Source organism: Homo sapiens, chromosome 7, assembly GCF_000001405.40.
Source record: "Homo sapiens chromosome 7, GRCh38.p14 Primary Assembly".
In the NCBI taxonomy this organism is placed as follows: domain Eukaryota; kingdom Metazoa; phylum Chordata; class Mammalia; order Primates; family Hominidae; genus Homo; species Homo sapiens.
In genome coordinates, this window is record NC_000007.14 from 98,845,977 (window position 1) to 98,871,047 (window position 25,071).

Here is a 25,071-nt window from a genome sequence, read left to right on the forward strand (position 1 = left end):
AGACTCCATCTCAAAATAAATTAATAAAAAGAAATAAAAGAAACGCAGAATCCCAGGCCCCACTCCAGACCTCCAAAATGAAAATTCTTGTTTACCAAGATCTCTAGCAATTCTCATGAACCTCAAAGTTTAAGAAGCCTGCTAGAGACTAGTGGTTCTCATACCTGATATGCACCAGAATCGCAGAGGGCTTGTGAAAACAGGTGGCTGCCCCCCTACCCAGGCACTGCTTCAGGTATCAGGTCGAGCCCAAGGGTCTGCATTTCCAACACGTCCCCAGGTGTGGTCCACGTTCCTCCTCTGGCTCTAGAATCCCCCTGAGGTCTCAGACAGGGATGCATGTCCAAGTCACCTGGGGACAGCTCTCCCCACCTCCAGGGACCTGAACTGGCTCCCTTCAGTTGTCTTCACCACAGAGGACAAGTGGGATGTCCTGCTGCGTCACAGCACTGCCGTTGCTGTCTGCAAGGCAAAAACGTCCATGCACAAAAGAGAGACTCTGGCCACACCGTCTATGCTTGGCTATATTCAGAGCACACAAGCTTTATTTAGCAACAATGGCAGTATTTCATGAGAATGAGCTGCACAATAGTGTAAATGCCATTTTCTGCACACAGCCTGGGAGCAGATGGTTACAGCGACAGAGCCCAGACCCCACAGTCCTCCCCTGCCCTTCCTGACAGGCTCCGGCTACTTCTGGCCTCATTATTGTCTCAGCCACAGCCCAGGTCGCTGGGCCAGAAGGGAGGGTGCAGGCTGGTTCCGCTGCTCAGGCTCTGTCATCCTGCTTCTTCCTTCTCAAGGCCACCTCGGGAGCAGCTGGCAGGCAAGAATGCCCCCCTCACACACAGGGAACCCAAGTCCCTGCTGACTCAACCTCTTCTTTTTTTTTTTTTGGAGACAGAGTCTCGCTCTGTCACTCAGGCTGGAGTGCAGTGGCGCCATCTGGGCTCACTGCAAGCTCCGCCTCCCGGGTTCGCACCATTCTCCTGCCTCAGCCTCCCGAGTAGCTGGGACTACAGGCACCCACCACCACGCCCGGCTAACTTTTTGTATTTTTTTAGTAGAGACGGGGTTTCACCGTGTTAGCCAGGGTGGTCTCGATCTCCTGATCTCGTGATCCACCCGCCTCGGCCTCCCAAAGTGCTGGGATTACAGGCGTGAGCCACCGCGCCCGGCCTTGACTCAACCTCTTCTACCGCTGCAAGGCCTTTTCCTCAGTGAAAGTTTCACAGATGGGTTTCGATAAAATAAGGTGATATTTATAAAGCACTCTGCAATCACTCAGTATTAGTCCTGCCCCCCATCCAGCCCCCTGCCAGCCAGCAGGGACTAGGATGGCCTTATAAAGGGCGCAAGAACTGCAGAGACAAAGCACAAAGGGAGGGCCCGGGCCCAGAACCTGTCAGGGCTGCTTGGAGGTCAAATTTCCTTTCAGCTCTAGTGCAGGGTGCATCCCAGCAACCGACTTAACCAGATACAGAGCTGATCATCTGAAATGCCCATGTGACGCATGTGTTTATATTTCTGTGTGTGTGTGTGTGTGTGTGTGTGTGTGTGTGTGTGGTGTGTGTACATGCACACTTCTCTCTGTGAGTGTGCCCATCTATGTGTACAACCTTTAGTTATGGATTTTTAACCCTTTATGACCTTCTTTCTAGCTCTCTGGCACAGGTAGGGCTGTCTGGGGGAGGAAACTGAGAACCCCCAATGGACAGCAGATGTGCCAATATGAGAGGAATGGGCAGTGGGCAGCCAGGCCCACCTGGGAGTCAACACGGAACACCCCAAGCATCAAAGTCCTGCACGAAGCCTCTTCAAAGGTAGGGGGTCAAGGGGGTGGTAACCGAGTGGGGCTTATGTCAGTGGCTGGACTGTACAGATGGGTGAATGGCTGGGGTCAGGGGTGACAGAGAGGGAGGGGCTTGTGGCAGTGGCTGAACTGTACAGATGGATGGATGATCCAGGCCAACAGCCCCACGCAAATGAACCCCTCCTGGTCAGTGGTGCACACCACCCTGCTGGAAACTCCAAGTCAGCAGTCAGTTAACACTGAGATGGGGTGGGGAGGGGGAGTGCTCACACGGTGTAAGTTTTGACAGACTTATAGAGGGGCGGGAGCAGCCCGTGGTTCTCACGAACAATTTCCAGGTACTCAGATGGAGTCTCCAGCAAGAAAGGCCCACAGCACATCTGGCAGCAGCACCTGACCCCAGAGGGTGGCTCCGGGTTCTTGTCAGACATGGGGGAAAAGTCAAAATCAGCCACCTATGATGAACAAAATCCCACGGGTCAATCACCCACCCACCAGGAGCCCCATCAGGTGGCCTTATGAGCTCAGCTGCCTGGTGGCAGAGTGCACAGAAACACCTTTCTGGCACCACACAGATGCAAGAGATGGATATAGGAGATAAATCAGATGGGACACCAACTTAGCAATTTTTCCTGGTCTACAGATGCCTCTTGGGCACATCACCCCAAGTCCCGGAGCCTCGCTGTAATATCAAGACCCCCTCCAGGCATCCTGGCCTGGCCCCCATACCCTCTCTAAACATCCTCTCTAGGCAAGGCCCAGTAGTCCAGCCCCCACCCCACTGAGTACCCACCTCCACCATGTCCTTTTGCTGAGTGGCATTCCGCAGGGTCATGTACATGATGAAGGCCAACATCACAGTGATAAGTGTAGCACATGGGAAAGCAAAGACAGCCGGCTGGATTCCTGGGAATGAAAGAAGTAACATTACAGGACTGGGTAGCTGGTACTACAGTGCTGGTTCTCAGGAAGCAAGCACAACAAAGGAGGGAATGGTCAAGCCCCACCAGTGATTTTTTTTACCCTCATGTACATGCATCCCAACTGGGCAACCCCAATAGGTAAATCCAGGACTTCACAAAAAATAAACTGGGGTCTGGGTAGGGGGCTTTCAGCATACATCCACAAGTTACTTGGTAGCAACTTCCAAGAGGGGCAGCTAAATTCCTCACACCTTGAGTGAGGGCTGGACTCAGCGACCAGCTCCTAGTGTACAGCAGATGAAAGGAGTGACAGTGCATGACTCCTGAGTCTAAGCCATAAGAGACACCACAGCTCCCTCTTTGCTCTCTCGGGTGACACACTTTTGGGAAGGGCAGCCATGTTGTGAGGTCACCCAATCAGCACTGTGTCCCCTGCTTCAGCTTCTCACGCTCTGGCAACTGCAGGCTCACCCAATAAACCTGTTGCTATGAAATGGTATGGTAGAAAGAGTCCAGTGTCTGAAGTTGAACAGTCCTGGGTTCAAATCCTAGCTCTGAATAGGCTACCTCATGCTAATGCTGACCTGCAAGACTGCTAAGGAGATGCAACAAGAAGAGGGGTGTTGATGTGTGTGGCATGTGGTAGGTGATCAGGAAGTGTGGGTTCCCTCTCCCTTTTCCCTCACCCTCTGCCATGAGGGTCTGTTTCCAAAGAAAAGTTGTCATTGATTACCTGTACTGCTGTCTTCTCTGCAGAATTCAGGGGGTTCCTGATTGGAACTTGGTCCCCAGAGGGTGCTGAGAGATGCAGGGCTCAAGTGACCTGATGATGCCCACAAAGTAAGCCAGGGCCAAGATTGAGTGTAGCATCCTCTCAGGGGCCCAGAGTGGGATTGGGGAAACTGGAGGGGACAGTGACAGCTTCAGGTGCATCCATAGGACCAACCTTGAAGACAAGTGCAGCTGGCAGGGTTTGGCATGAGCTTGGGAGCACTGGGAAGAACTAACTCCTACCCCAGGACCAGGAATCTGAAACCCTGGCTCAGGCTCAGGCTGACATCCAGTCTTGTTGCCTCCCTGTGCCTTAGTTTCCCCTTTTGTAGCATCAAAGGTAGAAGTAGGTTGGGCATCTGAAAGACAGTGCCTTCAGGACCTGAGATCCTACTCTATGTAAGGAAGTACTTCTCTGGGGCTCCCAGAGTCCTCCATAAAAATGAAGTGTAGAACCCAATGCTGTCATCAGCAAAGCCCACAATCGTAAGCCAGGGGCTGGGCCGATGATAGTTTTGGAAAGGTATTTCAAGAAAGAAGGTTGGGCATCCTTTTCTCTTTTTTATTTTTTATTTATTTTTCTGGAGACAGGGTCTCACTCTGTCGCTCAGGCTGGAGTGCTGTGGTGTGATCTTGGCTCATTGCAGCCTCAACCTCCTGGGCTCAAGTGATCTACCACATCAGCTTCCCGAGTAGCATAGCAGAGACCTACAGGCACACGCCACTCTCTCTCTCTCTCAATCCCTCTCTCTCTCTCTGTCTCTCTCATATATATATATATATATATATATTTTTTTTTTTTTTTAATTTTTTGAGACAAGAGCCTCTCTGTGGCCCAGGCTGGAGTGCAGCAGCTCAATCTCAGCTCACTGCAACCTCCACCTCCCAGGTTCAAGGGATTCTCATGCCTCCACCTCCTGCGTAGCTGGGATTACAGACTCCCACCACCACACCCAGCTAACTTTTTGGTATTTTTAGTAGAGACAGGTTTTGCCATGTTGGCCAGGCTGGTCTCAAACTCTTGGCCTCAAGTGATCCACCCACCTCGGCCTCTCAAAGTGCTGCAATTACAGGCACGAGCCACCGCATCTGTCCTATTTTTATATCTTTTGTAGAGACAGAGTTTTGCCACGTTGCCCAGGCTGGTCTCAGACTCCTGGGTTCAATCAGTCCACCCGCCTCAGCCTCCCAGAGTCCTGGGAGCCACCATGCCTAGCCCAGGCATCCTTATTAACAATATGCAATGCCTTCTCCCTGCAAGACTCACTACAACACTGTGAGTTGAGTAGAGTTACTGTTGGGGATGCTGGTTTTAGCAGTGGCAACTGCTGGGGCAGGGGTGATGGTGATGAGGGAGGGAACACTGCAATCATGGTGGCTCATTTGGCGCAAAAGTGTTTGTGCTGGGGACGTGTGGTCTTGGAAATATGTGGGAGAAGACATTGGCATGGTTGCTTTCGGTCCACAAAGCTGGCATTGGGGCAGGTGGTGGCATGGGCTTATAGATGTGGGTAGGGTCGGGGTCATTGAGGTGACTTGGTGAGAATGCTTATAGAGTCGTTAGTGGTGGCAATGGTGGTCCTGGAAGAGTTGTCAGGAAAGCATATGGTAATGGTGGTAGCTGAGTTGGTTACAGTTGTTAGTGGTGCTGGTGTTGATGGTGGTGCTGGTAGAATCGATGGGTGCCATATTGGGGTTGACAGAGTTGGTTGCTGGTGGGATTGGAGAGTTTGGTGGTGGTGGTATTGGCAGTTGGCCAGCGCTGATGTTGGCGGTCACTGGAGTCAGTGGGGTTATGGATGGTGCTGATGCTAGCGGGCTTTGTTGCTGAGGACCTTGGTAAGGCTGGCTGGTAGGAGCGTATTGGTGGTGGTGGCAGGATGGACAGGCTTGTGCTGCCCATGTGGCACTGGAGCAGAAGGCGAGGTGTCACTTACTGGAGGGCCACACCTGGATCTTGTGGTACTGATGTGTCTTGCTGATGATATTCTCGGCCCGGATGCTGAAGCAGTAGTCCCCAGGGTCCCTGAAGGTGTGGGTCAGGTTGTACGCTGTGCTGGCCACGGACACAGGGTGGCACTCCCCTTCCTCCAGCGGGAGGCACTCAGGCTTGAGACGCCAGCACACAGTCAGAGGAGGGCTGCAGGGAAATGGGGGCGGTTTTTAAGAAAAGGCTCAGCAAAGCATGTCAGCACAGACCAAGTCCAAGACAGGCCAGGTGGGCAGGAACTTCAGTGTCCTTTCCAGGACAGGACATCAAGCCGTCCTGGACTCAGCTTCATGCATTCCAGACCAGGGGACACTATGGTGCAAAAGAGATGGTCCCGGACCCCCAAGAGAATTCCAAGTGAATAAGGCCAACAGAGATACGCATAGACTGCTCACTGGAGGCAGGATGAGCGGTCTGATGGCACACATGGTGTACCATAGAAGCCCAGGGGAATAATAAGCACATCCCCCTTTTTGTGTTTTGCATTTTACGAGACAGGGACTCACTCTATTACCCAGGCTGAAGTGCAGTGGCTCAATCATAGCTCACTGCAGCCTCCAGCTCCTGAGCTCAAGCGATCTTCCTGCCTCAGCCTCCCGAGTAGCTGGGGCTACAGGCACCAGCCACCATGCCCAACTAATTTTTTAATTTAATTTAATTTAATTTTTTATTAATTATTTATTTAGAGATGGTGTCTCACTCTGTTGCCCAGGCTGGAGTGCAATGGCGCGATCTTGACTCACTGCAACCTTCACCTCCCGGGTTCGAGCCTCAGCCTCCCAAGTAACTGGGACTACAGGCACACACAACCATGCCTGGCTAATTTTTGTATTTTTAGTAAAGACAGGGTTTCGCCATGTTGGCTAGGCTGGTCTCAAACTCCTGACCTCAGGTGACCCGCCCGCCTCGGCCTCCCAAAGTGCTGGTATTACAGGCGTGAGCCACTGCGCCTGGCCAATTTTTTAATTTTTTAATAGCGATGGGACTATATTGCCCAGGGTGGTCTCCAACTCCTAGCCTCAAGTATTCTCCTGCCCCAGCCTCCTGAAGTGCTGGGATTACAGGCATGAGCCACTGCAACCAGCATGAGAGAGTTGTTTTTTGTTTGTTTGTTTTGTTTTTGTTTTTGTGGGGTTTTTTTGACAGAGTCTCACTCTGTCACCCAGGCTGGAGTGCAGTGGTGCGATCTCCGCTCACTGCAACCTTTGCCTCCTGGGTTCAAGTGAGTCTTCCACCTCAGCCTCCCAAGTAGCTGGGATTACAGGCATGCACCACCGTGCCTGGCTAATTTTTGTATTTTTTGGTAGAGACCAGGGTTTCACCATGTTGGCCAGGCTAATCTTTAACTCCTGACCTCAAGTGATCCACCCACCTCAGCCTCTGAAAGTGCTAGGATTGCAGACATGAGCTACCGTCCCTGACCATGAGAGCATTCTTAATGAGGTAGCCAGAGAAGGCTTCCTGGAGGAGGTGGCATTTGAGCAGATCTGAATGGATAAATGAACGTTTGATGGGTGAGAAAGGATAAGGGCATTCCAAGTTATCCACATTCCACAAGCATAGGCTCAGAAGCTGGAAAATGCAGGTCCATCCAAGGAATGTGAAATGAGCATTCCAATTCCACACAACACTAGGTCCGCAGGAAAAGCCATGCACTCATGCCACCTCAAATATCAGGGCTGCTAAACCCACAGGGCTTCCCATTCTCCCCATGCTAAGCTCCTGCCTCCAAAGCCCCGTGAAAACTACCTCCAACCCCTAAATTATTCACAGTTCATCTTCCTCTTCCCCTGGCCTGCATTGCTCACTCTCTGTCTGGCCTAGCATCCCTCTCATGTGTCTCTGTGTGGGCACAAGAGTCCTTCAAGGGCGGGTCGGGCACGGTGGCTCACGCCTGTAATACCAGCACTTTGGGAGGCCGAGGTGGGTGGATCACTTGAGGTCAGGAGTTTGAAACCAGCCTGGCCGACATGATGAAACCCTGTCTTTACAAAAAATACAAAAATTAGCCCAGCGTGGTGGCACGCACCTGTAATCCCAGCTACTCGGGAGGCTGAGGCAGGAGAATCGCTTGAACCCGGGAGGCGGAGGTTGCAGTGAGCTGAGATTGCACCACTGCACTCAAGCCTGGGCAACAAAGCGAGTCTCTGTCTGAAAAAAAGAAAGAGTCCTTTAACGCCTGGGCCCTGACCACTGATGTCTGCGGCTCTATCCATCCCAGTGGCCCCAGGGAGGGGCATCCTCATGGACAGAATGCACTCGGCATCTGTGTCTCCTCACCTACTAAACACTCAGCCTGATGCTGTTCTTGCCAGGAGCCTGGGTCAGGCTGCCTTGATTAGACTGACTGATGAGAATCCCCTGGAATGATCTGCTTCCGTGTCATGCGGGGTGCCCCACCCTGCACACAGAATCCTTGGAAATCTTGTCTACTCTGGTCTAGAAGCTTCCAGAATAGCATCTTGTCCAAAGCAGATGCTCAAGCAACTTTTGCCTGCTGGTGCAAGCTCCCCTGTGCAGACTGGAGGGCAGAACAGATTTGCTTTTTTTGTTTTTTGGTTTTTTTTTGTTTTTTTTTTTTTTGGACAGAGTCTTGCTCTGTCGCCCAGGCTGGAGTGCAATGGCGGGATCTCGGCTCACTGCAACCTCCATCTCCCAGGTTCAAGCAATTCCCCTGCCTCAGCCTCCCGAGTAGCTCGAATTACAGGCATGAGTCACAGCACCCGGCCTCAGAAAAGGCTTTTGAAGGCAGGCATTCCAAGGGGCTTAGAAGAATAAGAAACATCTGGACATGTGAAGGGAGAGAAGAGAACCCTGAAAGAACCACATGGGCAAAGATCTGGGGGCTGGAAAATAGGCCACGTCATACACAGAGGGCTTCTCAACAGGAGGGATCCCTCCCAACCTTTGTCTCCATGCCCATGGTGAATACAGCCCCAAAAGGCAGGTCCTCCCTCCCTGGGACCTCAAGAATTGAGCTGAGGGCTAGGTGTGGTGGCTCATGCCTGTAATCCCAGCACTTGGGGAGGCCAAGCTGGGAGGATCACTTGAGCTCAGGAGACTGAGACTAGCTTGAGCAACATAGTGAGAACCCATCTCTACAAAAATTAAAAATTGGCCAGGCATGGTGGTGCCCACCTGTAGTTCCAGCCACCCAGGAGGCTGAGGCAGGAGAATCATTTAAGCCCAGGAGGTCAAGGCTACATTGAGCTGTGATGGTGCCACTGCACTCCAACCTGGGTGACAGGGTGAAACTCTGTCTCTAAAAAATGCAAATAAAGGCCAGACGCAGTGGCTCACACCTGTAATCTCAGCACTTTAGGAGGCCAAGGCGGATGGATCACTTGAGGTCAGGAGTTGGAGACCAGCCTGGGCAACATGGTGAAACCCCATCTCTACTAAAAATACAAAAATTAGCCGGGCATCGTGGAGTGCACCTGTAATCCCAGCTAGTCGGGAGGCTGAGTCAGGATAATCGCTTGAACCAGGGAGGCAGAGGTCGCAGTGAGCCAAGATTGCGCCACTGCACTCCAGCCTGGGCGAAAGAGCGAGACTCCGTCTCAAATAAATAAATAAATAATAAAATAAAATACTGGAGCTGAGCCCATGCTCTCCCCATGGCCCAGCCTCAAGACAAAGTGGCACTGCCCTTCCATGAGGTCCCAGACCTGAGGCCTGTCACAGAGCAGAACAGACTTGGGGTCATCGTGAAGGGGGATGTGCAGAGCCCACGGGGCACCCCCAGTGCGCTCTGGAGCTCACTTACCTCCCCAGGAAGTTCAAGGTCACGGTCATCTTTTGGAAGGTCTGAATTAGGGTGGGCCCCAACACTTGGATGCCTCGAAGGGTTTCTGTAAGGCAGAGAGAACCCCGTTAGACCTGGTGGCTAAGGATTGCTGTCGAGGCTCCCAGGGCACAGGGTGGTGCGACTGCCACCCTGTCCTCCCCTCCGTCCCTCTCCTAAGAGCAGGCCACAGGTCTGTGCGGGGTTCCTCTGGGTCCTGCCCTCCCCTGTCAGTGGCAGGTGCTGAAGCCTGCTCAGAGGGAGGAAAGTAGGAAAGGCAGGCAAACACACAATTGTCCTGCCCATTGCCAAGTCATCGTCTGTGTCACACAGGAGAGCACCATCCCGTCAGCAAGAACCAAGACATCTTCTGCAGCTGCCCAAGGGCTCCCTCTCACCAAAGCCAGGGAGAGATAGAGACCCTCCCACCCCAGGGTGAGCCTCGGTGGGAGGCCGATGGGGCCGGGGAACAGGGAATGGCATGGACTGGCCAATTCACAGCAGACACCTGGTCACCGGCTCAGGCTCTGGGAGCAGGCAGCCCGGGGCACAAGGGCCGCTCAGCCACTGCACAGCCACATGATCCCATCCGTGGCCTGCAGCGCTCTGTCTGAAGCAGGGTTAATGATAGACGCTCCTCAGAGGTCTGTGGGGCTCCAGAAGACAGGGCGTGAGTCCAGCCCAGAGCCACTGTGATCTGTGCGTACGGTGACCCCACTCTGGAACGCCCAGACTGCATCAGCCTGCCTGGACACCCACCCTGCAGCTTCAGCGAGGCGGAGAAGTCCCCGGTCTTCTGCTTCACAGCCCTCGTGGCATCCGGCTCCACCTCTTCCCACTCCGCCACCACTTTGAGCTTCACGGTGAAGGTCCCGATGATGGAATAGTTATAATAGACCACGGAGTCTTCAGTCACCATCTGGGTCCTGTTAGGAGACAGGGAGGAGAGAGGAGGAAGACAGCAGACGGTTGCTTCCCCTTCCTGTAACTCAGAAGTGATTCATGGGACTTGCCAGAGTCAGGGGAGGCTGTACAGTGATACTCCCAGCTACCAGTGAGCACACCTGTCATCACAGCCTAGAGCCAGCCAGGGCTCCAGGTCAGCTGGCCCATTTTCCAGATGAGCAAACCGAGGCCAGAGAAGGCCTAAAATTCAGGAAAATTACAAATTTCTCACATTAGCCAAAGTTCAAGGGCTCAACAGCCCCACGTGGTGAAGACAGAAGAATTTTTTGTCAAAAATTTTTTGTTTTTGTTGTTTTTGTTTTTTGAGACAGGGTCTCACTCTGTCACCCAGTGGCACAATCATGGCTCACTGCAGCCTTGAATTCCTGGGCTTGAGCAGTCCACCTGTGTCAGCCTCCCAAGTAGCAGGGATCACAGGCGTGTACCACTGTGCCAGGCTAATACATGATTTTTTGTAGAGACAAGGTCTTACTATGTTGCCCAGGCTGGTCTTGAACTCCTGCGCTCAAGTGATCCTCTGACCTCAGCCTCCTAAAGTGCTGGGATTATAGGCATGAGCCACTGTGCCAGCCAAGCCGAGGGTTCTGTTGGACAAAGCTGCCATCCAGATTTTTCAAGTAAATGGTCTTTCCTGCAAATTGTCTGCTTTCCAATATTTATACTGTACTTTTTATCTCTCTCTCCCTTTTTTTTTTATTTTTTATTTTCCTTTTTAGAGATAAGGTTCTGCTCTGTTGCCCTGGCTGGAGTGCTGTGGTGCAATCATAGCTCACTGCAGTCTCTGAACTCTTAGGCTCAAGCAGTCCTCCCACCTCAGCCTCCCGAGTAGCTGGGACTACAGGCACGTGCCACCATCCCTGGCTAATTTTTGTATTCTTTGTAGAGACGAGGTATCACTATGTTACCCACCCTAGTCTCGAATTCCTGGGCTCAAGCTTTCCCCACCCTCTTGGCCTCTCAAAGCACTGGAATGACAGGTGTGAGCCACCATAGGCCCGCACTTATTTTCTTGACTTTCCTAAGTAAGTTAGAACTTTCAGGATAATATCGATGGACCCTGATAAGGAGCACCCTTGTCTTATTCCTGCATCTAGAGCCAGGTTCCCCCAACATCTCAATGCAACGACTCCCCAGAGGTATTTGACCACAGGTCACTTTTGTCACCAAGAGTTAGAGAATCCACATTCCACGTTTTGCCAGGCACGATGGCTCACCCCTGTAATACCAACACTTTGGGAAGCCAAGGTGGGAGGACTGCTTGAGCCCAGAAGTTCGAGACCAGCCTGGGCAATTTGGCAAAACCCTGTCTCTACAAAAAATACAAAAATTAGCCAGTCGTAATGTTACAGGCCTGTGGTTCCAGCTATTCAAGAGGCTGAGGTGGGAGGATCACTTGAGGCCAGGAGGCGGAGGTTGCAGTGAGCAGTGATCACGCCACTGCACTCCAGCCTGGGCAACAGAGCGAGACCCTGTCTCAAAAACAGAAACAAAAACACATCCTTTTTTTTTTTTTTTTTTTGAGAGGGAGTCTCATTCTGTCACCCAGGCTGAAGTGCAGTGGCATGATCTCAGCTCACTGCAACCTCCTCCTACCCGGTTCAAACGATTCTCCTGCCTCAGCCTCCCAAGTAGCTGGGAATACAGGCGCACACCACCATGCCTGGCTAATTTTTGTTTGTTTGTTTGTTTTGCATTTTTAGTACAGACGGGGTTTTGCCATTTTGGCCAGGCTGGTCTCAAACTCCTGACCTCAAGTGATCCATCCACCTCAGCCTCCCAAAGTGCTGGGATTACAGAAGTGAGCTACTGCACCCGGCCAAAAACAAAAACATATTCTAAGTTCTCCACTCAGTATAATGTTAGTTGTTAGTTCCAGCAACTTCTTTTTCTAGTTTATTTATATTACATTGAATGTTCATTTCTGTATAATGTTAGTTGTTAGTTCCAGCAACTTCTTTTTCTAGTTTATTGATATTACATTGAATGTTCGTTTCTGTTCATACTAACGCTTTTTTGGCATCTAAAGAGATGATCTGGCCAGGCACGGTGGCTCACACCTGTCATCCCAGTGCTTTGGGAGGCTGAGGCGGGAGGATGGCTTGAGGCCAGGAGCTCAAGACCAGCCTGGCCAACATAGTGAGACCCCATCTCTACAAAACATTTTAAAAAATAGTCAGATGTGGTGGTACATGCCTGTGGTCCCAGCTACTCGAGAGGTCGAGGCAAGAGGATTCCTTGAACACAGGAGATTGAGGCTGCAGTGAGTCAGATTTGTGCCACTGCACTCTAGCCTGGGTGACAGAGCAAGACCTTGTCTCTAAAAATGGAGGGCGGGGGGTGAGGAAAGCCAAGCACAGTGGTTCACACCTGTAATCCCAATGCTTTGAGAAGCTGAGATGGGAGGATCTCTTGAGCCCAGGAGGTCGAGACCAGCCTGGGCAACATAGTAAGATCCTGTCTCTACAAAAATATTTTAAAATTAGCTGGGTGTAGTGGTGCATGCCTGTAATCCCAGCCACTCAGGAGGCAGAGGTGGGATGAGTGCTTGAGGCTGGGAGGTCAAGGCGGCAGTGATCTATAATCACACCACTGTACTCTAGCCTGAGTGTCTGACCACAGGTTGCTTTTGTCACCAAGAGTTAGGAAATCCACATTCTGAGTTTTGCTGGGCACAGTGGCTCACCCCTGTAATCCCAACACTTTGGGAGGAGGAAGGGAGGGAGGGAAGGGGAGGGGAGGGTAGGAAGGAAGACAGGGAGGGAGAGAGGGAGGGAGGGGAGAGGAGAGGAAGGGGGAAGGAAGGAAGGAAGGAAGAAAGGAAGGGAGAAAGAAGAAAGAAAAAAGAAAAAGGAAAGGAAAGAAAGGAAAGGAAGAAAAAGAAGGAAGAAAGGAAGGGAGGGAGGGAGGGAGGGAGGAAGGGAGTAGGGCCAAGCATGGTGGCTCCCACTTGTAACCCCAGCACTTAGGGAGGCAGAGGCAGGAGGATCACTTGAGCCCAGGAGTTCAAGACCAGCCTTGGCAACATAGCAAGACCCTGTTCTCCTCCACCAAAAAGGGGAAAAAAGACAAAAAGTTAAAAAGGAGCAATAAAGAGAAACGAAGCCAGAGCACCTGGGTTCTACCTCGTATCCACCAAGGGTTGGCTGGGTACCCTTCGAGGTCAAATGGGAAAAAATCTCATGTACCTTTACCTTCCTTAAATGGCTGTTTTGGGCACCAATGGCCTCCTCTATTAGGTGAAGACACCACAAAGGCAGGGCTAGTGGCTGATTCACCAGTGTTCTCCGGGACCCCCAGTCGTGGCAGAGAGGAGGTGCTTGAAGGATGTTTGAAAGGAGACAGGGTGAGCAGGGAAAGGAGAGGAGCTTCAGGTGGGTGCAGTGGTTCACACCTGTAGTCCCAGTATTTTGGGAGGCCAAGGTGGGAGGATCACTTGAGGTCAGGAGTTCAAGACCAGCCTGGCCAACATGGTGAAACCCAGTCTCTACTAAAAAATATAAATAAATAAATTAATTAATTAATTAATTAAATTTAATATGAAAATTAGCCAGGCATGGTGGCTCACACCTGTAATCCTAGCACTTTGGGAGGCCAAGACAGGCACATCACTTGAGGCCAGGAGTTTGAGACTAGCCTGGCCAACATGGTGAAACCCCATCTCTACTAAAAAAAATAAAAATAAAAAAAATACAAAAATTAGCCAGGTGTGGTGGCGCAAGCCTGCAGTTCCAGTTACTGGGGAGGCTGAGGCAGGAGAATCACTTGAACCCAGGAGGAAGAGGTTGCAGTGAGCCAAGATGGTACTACTGCACTCCAGCCTGGATGACAGAACAAGACTGCATCTCAAAAAAAAAAAAAAAATTAAAGGTGAAGAGATTCGGAGTACCCTGCACAGTGCGCGGGACAGTGGGGCACCAGTGACAGCTGTAGGGCCTGCAGAGGGGTAAGGACCTACCCGTCCCCGAAGTCCCAGCTGTAGAGAAACAAGGCGGTCTTGAGGAAGTTGCTCGGGTCGTGGAGGAGGAAGGAGACTTTCAGGACGGTCTTAGTGAGATAGGAGCTGGGCCAGGGTAGGGAAGTGTTCTGGGTGACAACAAGGTCCCCCACGAGGAACTCTGGGAGAGAGAGAGACACGGGAGGGTGAGTCTTGGAGATTCAGGGATCAGGAAACCAGGTAGAGACTTCATGGGCAGCTGTCAAAGCCACCACTTCCCTGCCCGGACCTTCTGGCTGTCAGAGCTAGGCAGGGAGAGGGGACACCCCCCTACAACTCCCCAAAGACCCCTGAACACAGAGGCATCTGCACCCTCCCCCTGCTGCATGAACACTGCTGAACACCGGAGGACTCTGTCACATTCACTGTTTTCTCTCCTGTCCCCTCTCACAAGGACCCTGAACTTTCTGGCACAAAAGATGCCCAAGGTCAGAAGGAAATGCATGGCTGGGTGCGGTGGCTCACACCTGTAATCCCAGCACTTTGGGAGGCCGAGGTTGGTGGATCACAAGGTCAAGAGTTCAAGACCAGCCTGGCCAAGATGGTGAAACCCCGTCACTACTAAAAACACAAAAATTAGCCAGGTGTGGTGGCACACACCTGTAGTCACAGCTATTTGGGAGGCTGAGGGAGGAGAATCGCTTGAACCTGGGAGGCGGAGGTTGCAGTGAGCCAAGATCGCGCCACTGCACTCCAGCCTGGGCGACAGAGCAAGACTCTGTCTCAAAAAAAAAAAAAAAAAAAAAAAGAAGAAGGAAATGCATAAGCTTTGAAAGGAACTTTTGAGAAATATTTCAGAATGTCAGGTGACCCTAGAAAAATTAGCAGTTCCAATGACCAGGCACGGTGGCTCACACCTATAATCCCAACACTTTGGGAGGCCAACACGGGCAGATCACGAGGTCAGGAGATCAAGACCAACCTGACTAACACAGTGAAACCCTGTCTCTATTAAAAATACAAAAACAAAATTAGCCAGGCATGGTAGCGGGCACCTGTAGTCCCAGCTACTTGGGAGGCTGAGGCGGGAGAATGGTGTGAATCCGGGAGGCAGAGCTTGCAGTGAGTCGAGATCGCGCCACTGCACTCCAGCCTGGGTGACAGAGCAAGACTCCGTCTCAAAAAGAAAAAAGAAAAATTAGCAGTTCCACTGATCACAGCTTCACACGTTGGGACCACTGTCCTATGTCTACTTCTCTAAAAAGAAAAAAAATTGGTGGGGCACGGTGGCTCACACCTGTAATCCCAGCACTTTGGGAGACTGAGGTGGGCAGATCACTTGAGGCCAGGAGTTTGAGACCAGCCTGGCCAACATAGCGAAACCCTGTCTCTACTAAAAATACAAAAATTAGCTGGGTGTGGTGGCCAGCACCTGTAGTCCCAGCTACTTGGGAGGCGAAGGCACGAGAATCGCTTGAACTGGGAGGTGGAGGTTGCAGTGAGCCAAGATCACAGCACCACTCCAGCCTGGGCAACAGAAGGAGACTCTGACTCAAAAATAGTAATAATAAATTAATTAAAATTAGTAAAAGTGGAAAGAAAAAGGCATGCTCAATAGAGCTCATTTGGAAAATGTTCAAACATAAAATAAGAAGAAAAGAAGCTAACTAACATTCACCTCAACCACTGTTGCCATTTTGAAGTATGACAAAGTATTTGCTTCAGTGTTTAATATACACATACATTAAATACAGATTATTGGGTTAGACAATTCTGTGCTTTGCTTTTTTAATATGTAATTTTACATGCATGTGTATTTACCCATGGCCTTACAAACTCATTGTAAGGGTCACTGTTAATAGTGGTATAAATGATTTTATTATATTTAGCCAATCTCCTCATGGTTGCTCACTTAGCTTGTTTATCTCTTCTTTTGCTATTATAAACACTATTGCAATGAACACCTTAATGCAAAAGGCATGACCCAAATGCAGGTTTATTTCCTGAAGATAAATTCATTATTAGACTGGAAAGTCTAAAGGGGCAAAGGGGCATCTTCTCTTGGAATGAGAGAGAGAGAGAGAGACAAAGAGACATAGAGACAGAGATAAAGAGACAGAGACAAAGAGACAGAGACAGAAAGAGACAAAGAGACAGAGAACAGAAAGAGCAAGATAGAAAGGGAAAACAGAGAGAGAAGGGACAGAGAGAGACAGAAAGAGACAGACAGAGATAGAACAGAGAGAAGGACAGAGAGAGACAGAAAAGAAAGGGGAGAAAGAGGGGAGAAAGAACCAGTGAATGACTGGCCCCAAGACTACAATAATTTCTTTTTTTTTTTTTTTTTTTTTTTTTTTTTGAGATGCAGTCTCACCCTGTCCCCGAGGCTGGAGTGCAGTGGCACGTTCTCGGCTCACTGCAACCTCTGCCCCCCAGGTTCAAGCGATTCTCCTGCTTCAGCCTCTTATACAGCTGGGATTATAGGTGCCCACCACCATGCCCCCACTAATTTTTGTATTTTTAGTGGAGACGGGGTTTTGTCATGCTGGCCAGATGGCTCTCAAACTCCTGATCTCAGGCGATCCACCTGCCTCGGCCTCCCGAAGTGCTGGGATTACAAGCGTGAGCCACCGCGCCCAGCTGAGACTACAATAATTTCTAACCAACAGTACCTATTGACCAGTCGCTCTCCACAGGGTTGTATTAATGTATACCCTCAGCAGCAATAGGCGTCCCTTTTAGCACAATACCTCCTGGGGGCAATCACTGCCATTTTCAGATCCTTTCTAACTCGACTGACCCGGGGAAGGAACCTACGGGCCTAATCCCCCAGAACCTACGGGCCTAATCTGCATTGATCTGATTCCTAGCGAAGCTTGATGTTTTTCTCTGCACCAAGGGTTTGAAGGCAAACTAGCAAATGGGAGCGACCCTCACCTGTGATGGGGAGGACCACAAAGCCCCTGGCCACAGGCTGGCACATCCAGCAGTCAGCGGCAGTGACCCAGACAGAGACCGGGAATTCCCCGGGCACGTGGCCGACCACACGGATGGTGGAGCTGAGACCCTTCTCCATCTTGCCAGTAAGCACCAGCGGGGTGTGGATCCAGTGGAAGCGGTAGAGGTGGGCGTCAGCGGGCAGGGCCAGGCTGCCGTTGTCCTTGGCCACCAGGCTGGCCGAGATGGTCACCACCGCTCCCGTGGTGGCAGGGCTATCGGTGGTGAGATTGAGTTCATACAGGCCTAGGAGCCCAGAAACAAAGACTGTGTTTCAGAATGGTGTGTGGCAAGGAGCCCCACAGCCACCTCTGGGCTGGCATCAACTATTCTATTTCCCAGGTGGAGAAACTGAGGCTCAGGCAGCTCAAGTGACTTGCCCAAGGGTCACTCAGCCAATTCGACATCAAACCTGGGTCCCACTGACTCCAAATCACAGTCTTTTCAGTCTTATTTCCCCTTCCTTCCTTCCCTCCCTCCCTCCCTCCTTCTTCCTTCCCTCCTTCCTCCTTCCCTCCTTCCTTCCTCCTTCCCTGCTTCTCTTTCTTTTCTTCCTTCCTTTCTTTTTCTTTCCTTTCCTTCCTTTCTCTTTTCTTTTCTCTCTCCTTCCTTCCTTCCTCTCTCCCTCCCTCCTCTCTTTTTTCTTTCTTTCTCTTCTTTCTTTTTTTCTCCCTTCCTTCCTTCCTTTTCTTTCTTCTTCCTTCTTTCTTTCTTCCTTTCTTCCTCTCTCTCTCTCTCTCACTCTCTCTCTCTCCCTTTCGTTCTCTGGATCTCACTCTGTAACCCAGACTGGAGTACAATCATCACAGTTCGCTGCAGCCTCCACCTTCTAGGATCAAGAGATCTTCCTGCCTCAGCCTCCCAAATAACTGAAACTATAGGCACACACCACCACACCCAGCTAATTTTTTATTTTTTGTAGAGATGGGGGTCTATGTTGCCCAGGCTGCCCAAATTATATTTTGTTTTTCCTGCCAGCCGGGCAGGGCCTTGGTTAGTGGCTACTCTTCTGGACAGGCCACACAGAGAACATTTCTACCATTCCCCAGAATTCTTTTGGTTTTGTTTTGAGACAAGATCTCCCTCTGTCATCCAGGCTGGGGTGTAGTGGCATGATCATAGCTCACTGCAGCCTCAAACTCCTGGGCTCAAGTGATCCTCCCACCTCAGCCTGCCAAGTAGCTGTGACTTGTAGGTCCAAGTCACCACGCTTGGCTGATTTTTTTCTTTTTTTTTTTTTTTTGTAGAGACAGGATCTCACTATGTTGCCCAGCCTGGTCTCGAACTCCTGGCTTCAACCACTCCTCCTGCCTTAGCCTCCCAAAGTGCTGGGATTACAGGCATGAGCCAGCGTCCTCAACCACATTGTCCAAAGATCTACTGGACAGTGCTGGTCTCATGCCTCTGGATTCCTCCTCTCCTCACTCCTCTCTCTCTGTCAGGGTTAAAGGATCCAGCTGTTGGCCAGGCATCATGGCTCATGCCTGTAACCCCAGCACTTTGGGAGGCCGAGGTAAGCGGATTACTTGAAGTCAGGAGTTCGAGACCAGCCTGGCCAACATGGTGAAACCCTGTCTCCACTAAAAATACAAAAAATTAGCTGGGTGTGGTGGTGCATGACTGTAATCCCAGCTACTCAGGAGGCTGAGGCAGGGGAATCGCTGGAACCCAAGAGGCAGAGATTGCAATGAGCCGACATCGAGCCACTGCATTCCAGCCTGGGCAACAAGAGTGAGACTCCGTCTCAAAAACAAAAGAAAACAAACAATAAAAACACTTCCCTGTACCTCTCACCCCCTCAGCTCTTTCCCGACAGCTGAGTCCACTGTTGTCACAACTCCATGTGGAAATGAAAGTTTCTTTGCCTTTCCTGCTATGCTTCAAACTCGTTTAGAGCAGGGGTCATTTCCATCATCCCTGTGACCAGCACAACGCTTGGCACATAGCAGGTGTTTGGTACTGCTGTTGCCAAGGGGCACCCGGAGAGCAGGTGCAGCAGAGGGACCAGCCCACCTGGCCCTGCCCCAGGAGACTGTTCACCCAGGTGGCACTGACTGAGTCCCTTCCATGGACCCCATCCCTACCGTGTTGGGAGGATCCAGAAATACAGAACAAGCCCCTCCCTGGAGGGACCTCACAGGAGACCTGCTGGGCTTTCAACAAGAAAGGCTGGCCAGGCGTGGTGGCTCACACCTGTAATTCCAGCACTTTGGGAGGCCGAGGCGGGCGGATCACCTGAGGTCAGGAGTTCCAGATCAGCCTGACCAACATGGAGAAACCCCCGTTTCTACTAAAAATACAAAATTAACCAGGTGTGGTGGCATGCGCCTGTAATCACAGCTACTCGGGAGACTGAGGCAGGAGAATTGCTTGAACCCGGAAGGCAGAGGTTGCAGTGAGCCAAGATTGCGCCACTGCACTCCAGCCTGGACGACAAGAGCGAAACTGTCTCAAAAAAATTTAAAAAAAGAAAGGCCAACTATTTGACCTTGTGGTTTTCAACTATTTCAACTATTTTACCTTGTTTTTCTTTCACAAATTTTCATTAGATCCCTTACCCTCTCTCTGCCACTCTATTATGAGGGGGGAGGGGGATGAAAACTGTTGGATAATATTCAACCCCGTTAGCTGCCCACGTCCCACCTGTCCCTCAACAAGTCTCCAATCTGGGTCCTTTTATGGTTCCCAAAATGTGGCAGAAAGGTGGGTGCTGGCCTTCTGGCGATGGGGATGTGGGGACAGTAGATGCACGACCGAGTGGGCACAAGGTCCCCCCACAAGTCCCCCCAGGAACCTGTCAGCTCCAGGTCCATTTTGGGAAATCACTCCTGGAAGAAATAGCAGCCTGGCCTCCTGGGCTCTAAAATTGCATCTCGGTCAGGCACGGTGGCTCATGCCTGTAATTCCAGCACTTTGGGAGGCCGAGGTGGGTGGATCACCTGAGGTCAGGCGTTTGAGACCGGCCTGGCCAACATGGCGAAACCCCGTCTCTACTAACAATACAAAATTAGCCGGGTGTGGTGGCGAACGCCTGTAATCTCAGCTACTCGGGAGGCTGAGGCCGGAGAATTACTTGAACCTGGGAGATGGTGGTTGCCGTGAGCCGAGATTGCGCCACTGCACTCCAGCCTGGGCAAAAAGAGCGAAATTCCATCTCAAATAAATAAATACATAAATCAAATAAAATCATATCTCCCCAAAGCCAGCACCAACAGGGTGGAAAACCCCTCTAGATGAGGCAACATTTTAAAGTAAAAATGCTGCCCATCCCGTGTTCCCTGGGGGCTGGGGGTTGTGGCACGATGACTGACCCTGATACATCCCCATGTCCCTGCCTCGTCCTCCCCTCCCTTAGCAGGTACATGGTCCCCAGACATCTGACGGATGCGTGGGCCACCCTCGTGTGGTTTCCAGGGCAGGGCCAGCCCGGGGAGTAGAAGCAGGAATCGAGGGGGCAAGGGAAGCCCCTTCTAGTGCCCAGGCAACTCTGAGATTATTTTTTTCAGACGCATCTCATTCACTTCAAAGCAACATCACCTGTCCCTGTGGGGGACTCCAGCTCCGACCTTTCCTCAGGCCCACCTCACACGTTCGCTGCTTTGGCCCACATCACGTATTTCCTTTTTTTTCAGAGCCATTTCTTAAATTATAAAGGCATTTGAGGCCGGGCCCAGTCAGCTCACACCTGTAATCACAGCGCTTTGAAGCCAGAGGGTCACTTGAGCCCAGGAGTTTTAGATCAGCCTGAACAACACAGCGACACCCATTCTCTACAAAAAAAAAAATTTAAAAATTAGCCAGGCATGGTAGCGTGCACCTGTTGCCCCAGCTACTTGGAAGGCTGAGGCAGGAGGATCTCTTGAGCCCAGGGGTTTGAAGTTGCAGTGAGCTATGATGGCGCCCCTGCCCTTCAGCCTGGGCAACAAAGTGAGAGACCCTTTCTACAAAAATAAATAAATAAAAATCAAGTCATTTGAGTCAAGATGCCGAGAGCTGGTCACTTCCAAGGGAATGCTGGCATTGAAAAGGGGACCTGCAGTGTCTTAACCCCAAAGAGGGAAATCCAGAAGCTGTGATGGGAGCTTTTCCACGCAAACAGAGTGGGTATATGATATTGAGGGACCTGAAGCCCGCATGGGTCACTGCTGCTGCCTGAGGCCACCCAACCAGTCTGTACTACCCTGGTTGGGCTTTGCTCTCCCTCCCCACTTTGGCTGGGAGGCAGCATTTGGCCAGGCTGTGGACAGAGAGGTGCATGGATGAGAGACCACCTCCTCCCTTATCCCCCTAACTCCTGGCACCCCTCTCCTCCCCATCCCCTCCCTGCCACCCCAGCTGAGAAGCGTGGGCCTGAGCGAGGCTGGCAGGTAGCAGGGACATTCGGCTGCATGCTAATGGCCAAACAGCATCTGCAGTGAGACAGACGCATGTTATCACGCAGATCGGTTGCCAGGGGAATGGATCAGGAGGGCAGCCAGCTGGGACTGGGAGGGGGGATGGGGGGCAGGGAGGGGCTGTGTCTGCTGCAGACATTGCTGCAGACACTGGCCCAGCTCATGGGAGCCCGCCGACTCCCCCACCACCACCTGCCAGCTCCAAGGACACTTTTTCTCAGTCTGTTTTTTCAAAATCAGGTGTGTCACAGCCCCTGGGTGATGCTGCCCCTGTTCCTCAGGGGTCTCAGGGATGGCCAGGACATCCAGGGTGGAAATGGACCAGGAAGCCTTTGCCAAATGTGGCTGAAGGAACCAATCACAGGGCCTGGTGCTCTACCCACCAAATTCATCTTTCCAGGCCGGCGTGGTGGCTCACACCTGTAATCCCAGCACTTTGGGAGGCTGAGACAGGTGGATCACCTGAGGCCAGAGGTTCGAGACCAGCCTGGCCAACATGGCGAAGCCCTATCTCTACTAAAAATACAAAAATTAGCCAGGTGTGGTGGCAGGCGCCTGTAATCCCAGCTACTTGGGAGGCTGAGGCAGGAGAATTTCTTGAACCCAGAAGGTGGAGGTTGCAGTGAGCCAAGATTGTGCCACTGCACTCCAGCCTGGGTGACAGAGCAAGACTGCATCTCAAACAAACAAATTCATCTTTCCATGTTTGGGAGTCCATGTGACATGGAGTTGGGGTATGGAGCAGCCAAGGCAGAGGTTTAGGGGACTCCAAGGGCCCCCCAAGTCACCCAGAGCTCAAGGGGCAAAAGCAAAAAGAGATGGGGCACTCACCCCAAAGCTTGGCCCATGGAAGAAACACCTACCTTTTCCAGCAACACAGCATGTGCAGCCCTGAACATTCTAGAAAATGGCTACACCAGTCCTTTCACACAGAATATGCAGACTACCCAAAACACTTCCAAAGAGTACCTCTAAAGTCTGGATAACACAACCCAGAATTAATTAATAGTCCAGTACATGGACTTCTGACTTACAAATCCCTGATTCATGGACTCCAGAAAGGGGAAGGGTAGAAAAGTCTCCCCGACGGGTGAGGGAGAAGATGTTTCCCAACTCCACTCTTAGCCACTGTGATTTTGACCACATCAAGGGTGCAATTGGCTAGAATGGGAACCACACATGATTTCCAAATAATTAATTCACTTTTGTTATTATTTTCTTTTTCTTTTGCAATTTAGGACACATTGAAAATCTCTGACACAAATCAACCTGATGGACAAGAGACCCCTTTCCTGTATTTCCAGGAGGAAATAGGTAATCTTGTCCAAGTGCAATTCCCATAAAATTCGTCTAATTCATCCCTGAGTTGCAGGTTTTCTTTGACCTCATGGTTTTTCTTTCACAAATTTTCATTAGATCCCTTGCTCTCTCTCTCCACCGCTCTTTTATGAGGGGGGAGGGGGTGAAAAGTGGTGGATAGTATTCAACCTTCTTAGCTGCCCACGTCCCATCTGTCCCTCGAATAGTCTTAAATCTGGGTCCTTTTATGGTTCCCAAAATGTGGCAGAGAGGTGGGTGCTGGCTTTCTGGCGGTGGGGAAGTGGGGGCAGTAGACACACAACCCTGCTTCCCCCACTCCCCCACCCACACACACACCCCAGGAACCTGTCAGCTCCGGGTCCATTTTGGAAATCACCACCAGAGAGGAAATGGCAGCCTGGCCTCCTGGGCTCTAAATTCGCATCTCCCCAAAGCCAGCACCAACACGGTGGGAAACCCCTCTAGATGAGGCGACATTTTAAGGCAAAAACGTTGCCCATCCCGTGCTCCCTGGGGGACTGGGGAATTGTGGCGCGATGACGGACCCTGGCGCATCCCCGCCTCCCTGCCTCGTCCTCCCCTCCCTTAGCGGGTGCATGGTCCCCAGGCATCGACGGATGCGCCGGCCACCCCCGCGCGGTTTCCAGGGCAGGGCCAGCCTGGGGGGGTGGAAGCAGGAATCCAGGGGGTGCGGGGAGCCCCCTCCAGTGCCCAGGCGACTTTGGGGAACAAGGATGAAAGGAGAGGGGAAAGGGCGCTGCAGTGGCCTCAGCCGAGGAGGGAGATGCGCGCAGGGCGCACGGTGCCACCTCCGCAATCCCTGCTCCCGGGCCCACTCGCCCGCTGAGACGGTTCCAGGCCCCGGGCGGGCTGCGGCTGCAGGGAGGCCGGATTGCCCAGCGCCTTACCTGCGGCCACCCCTGCCGGGGCCCAGGGCAGGAGGCAGGCAAGCCAGAGGATGCGGCCGAGGCGCGACCACACTGCCTGGGCCATTGCGGGGCCCGGAGCGGGAGAAGCGTGGGGCGGACGCGGAGGGAATGCAGCTGGAGCTCGAGAACTGCGGCGGTCGCTCCTCCGGGCGCGCAGCGCGGGCGGTGCGGGGAGGTGCGGGCGCCGTGCTCGCTCGTCCTCGCCGGGGGACGCTCTGTCGCTGCGCGCCGCCGCCGCCGCCCACAGCCCGCTGCGCGACCCCGGCCCACGTCAGCCGCGCCGCGCGCCCTCCTCCTCCTCCCGCCGCCCCTTGCTCCCGCGTCCCTCTCCACGGCCGCGTCCTCCCTCTCCGGGTCTCTTCCCACGGCCGCGCCCCCTGCCCTCCTGGAGTCCACGATCGCCCCTCCCAGCTTGCTTCCCCTCTAGGGGTTCCAGAGCTCCCTTCCTGCGCCCTGGCTCCTCCCCGCATCCCTCCCCACCCCAAATCCACCCCCGGCCGCATCCTTCCCCTCCACTACCCGAAACCACGCCCCCCGCACCCGCATTTTTCCCTTCCCCCGAGCCCCTCCCCGCCCTGGATCCGATGCCGCCGGCTCTGACTCAGCGTCCCCAGGGGCGTGCGCTGCGCTGCAAGCCGCCTGCAGGTCCCTTGGGGCTCTCCTCCAGGTGCCTTCTCTCTGCACGCTCGTGGCTCCGAGATGCTACTCCTCATTCAAGAACTGTTGAGAGCTTAAGGTGCGCCAGGCGTTGGGCGAAAGGCCTCGAAATTCCTCTTGCTGCTGCTGCTGCTGCTGCTTCCTCTTTTCTTTTTTTTTTTTTTTTAATCTTGAGACAGAGTCTCGCTCTGTCCCAGAATGGCGCGATCTCGGCTCACTGCAACCTCCGCCTCCCGGGTTCAAGCGATTCTCCTGCCTCAGCCTCCCTAGTAAGATGGGATTACAGGTGCCCGCCACCAGGCCTGGCTAATTTTTGTATTTTTAGTAGAGACGGGGTTTCACCATGTTGGCCAGGTTGGTCTCAAACTCCTGGCCTCAAGTGATCCTCTCGCCTCAGCCTCCCAAAATGTTGGGATTACAGGTGTAAGCCACTGTGCCCAGCCTCTTGCCCCTTCTTGATAGAGGGGCCTGAGCACCCGGCCCCTGCCGTGGGCTTGATGTCATCCCCCGGTTTACCCTCTCACAGCTGCTGTTAAGATGGGGCTCCTGCTCGTATCTGGGCCCAGGGCAACTTCTTTGTCACTGAGGGCCTT

The 25,071-nt window shown here is 52.3% G+C and overlaps 1 protein-coding gene across 3 annotated transcripts, besides 5 other annotated features; it reads right to left on the reverse strand.

The window, feature by feature from the left end:
* Positions 1-513: 513 nt before the first annotated feature.
* Positions 514-24,038, reverse strand: TMEM130 (transmembrane protein 130). 3 transcript variants are annotated; one of them, NM_152913.3, is made up of 8 exons: positions 23,801-24,038; positions 17,119-17,424; positions 14,203-14,362; positions 10,041-10,207; positions 9,264-9,348; positions 5,445-5,647; positions 2,607-2,719; positions 514-2,232 (listed from the first exon to the last, which is right to left on the reverse strand). In NM_152913.3, exons 1-8 carry the CDS (start codon positions 23,883-23,885, stop codon positions 2,080-2,082), a joined length of 1,272 nt encoding a protein of 423 aa, NP_690877.1. In that variant the 5' UTR covers positions 23,886-24,038; the 3' UTR covers positions 514-2,079. The 3 variants fall into 3 exon arrangements, with proteins under 3 accessions (NP_690877.1, NP_001127922.1, NP_001127923.1); NM_001134450.2 differs by having other exon boundaries at positions 514-2,268; NM_001134451.2 differs by lacking the exon at positions 17,119-17,424.
* Positions 1,540-2,739: an enhancer, noted in NCBI's record as "BRD4-independent group 4 enhancer chr7:98445139-98446338 (GRCh37/hg19 assembly coordinates)". NCBI's record gives its function as "activates an origin of replication core promoter dependent on BRD2, P300/CBP, MED14 and CDK7 cofactors, and independent of BRD4, by STARR-seq in HCT116 cells {active_cell/tissue: HCT116}" and the evidence as "EXISTENCE:reporter gene assay evidence [ECO:0000049][PMID:35650434]".
* Positions 5,004-5,505: an enhancer, noted in NCBI's record as "H3K4me1 hESC enhancer chr7:98448603-98449104 (GRCh37/hg19 assembly coordinates)". NCBI's record gives its function as "activates a minimal SCP1, AML or CMV promoter by ChIP-STARR-seq in naive H9 embryonic stem cells {active_cell/tissue: H9 hESC(naive)}" and the evidence as "EXISTENCE:reporter gene assay evidence [ECO:0000049][PMID:30033119]".
* Positions 7,102-7,823: an enhancer, noted in NCBI's record as "H3K27ac-H3K4me1 hESC enhancer chr7:98450701-98451422 (GRCh37/hg19 assembly coordinates)". NCBI's record gives its function as "activates a minimal SCP1, AML or CMV promoter by ChIP-STARR-seq in primed H9 embryonic stem cells {active_cell/tissue: H9 hESC(primed)}" and the evidence as "EXISTENCE:reporter gene assay evidence [ECO:0000049][PMID:30033119]".
* Positions 22,936-23,522: an enhancer, noted in NCBI's record as "H3K27ac-H3K4me1 hESC enhancer chr7:98466535-98467121 (GRCh37/hg19 assembly coordinates)". NCBI's record gives its function as "activates a minimal SCP1, AML or CMV promoter by ChIP-STARR-seq in primed H9 embryonic stem cells {active_cell/tissue: H9 hESC(primed)}" and the evidence as "EXISTENCE:reporter gene assay evidence [ECO:0000049][PMID:30033119]".
* Positions 23,523-24,108: an enhancer, noted in NCBI's record as "H3K27ac-H3K4me1 hESC enhancer chr7:98467122-98467707 (GRCh37/hg19 assembly coordinates)". NCBI's record gives its function as "activates a minimal SCP1, AML or CMV promoter by ChIP-STARR-seq in naive and primed H9 embryonic stem cells {active_cell/tissue: H9 hESC(naive and primed)}" and the evidence as "EXISTENCE:reporter gene assay evidence [ECO:0000049][PMID:30033119]".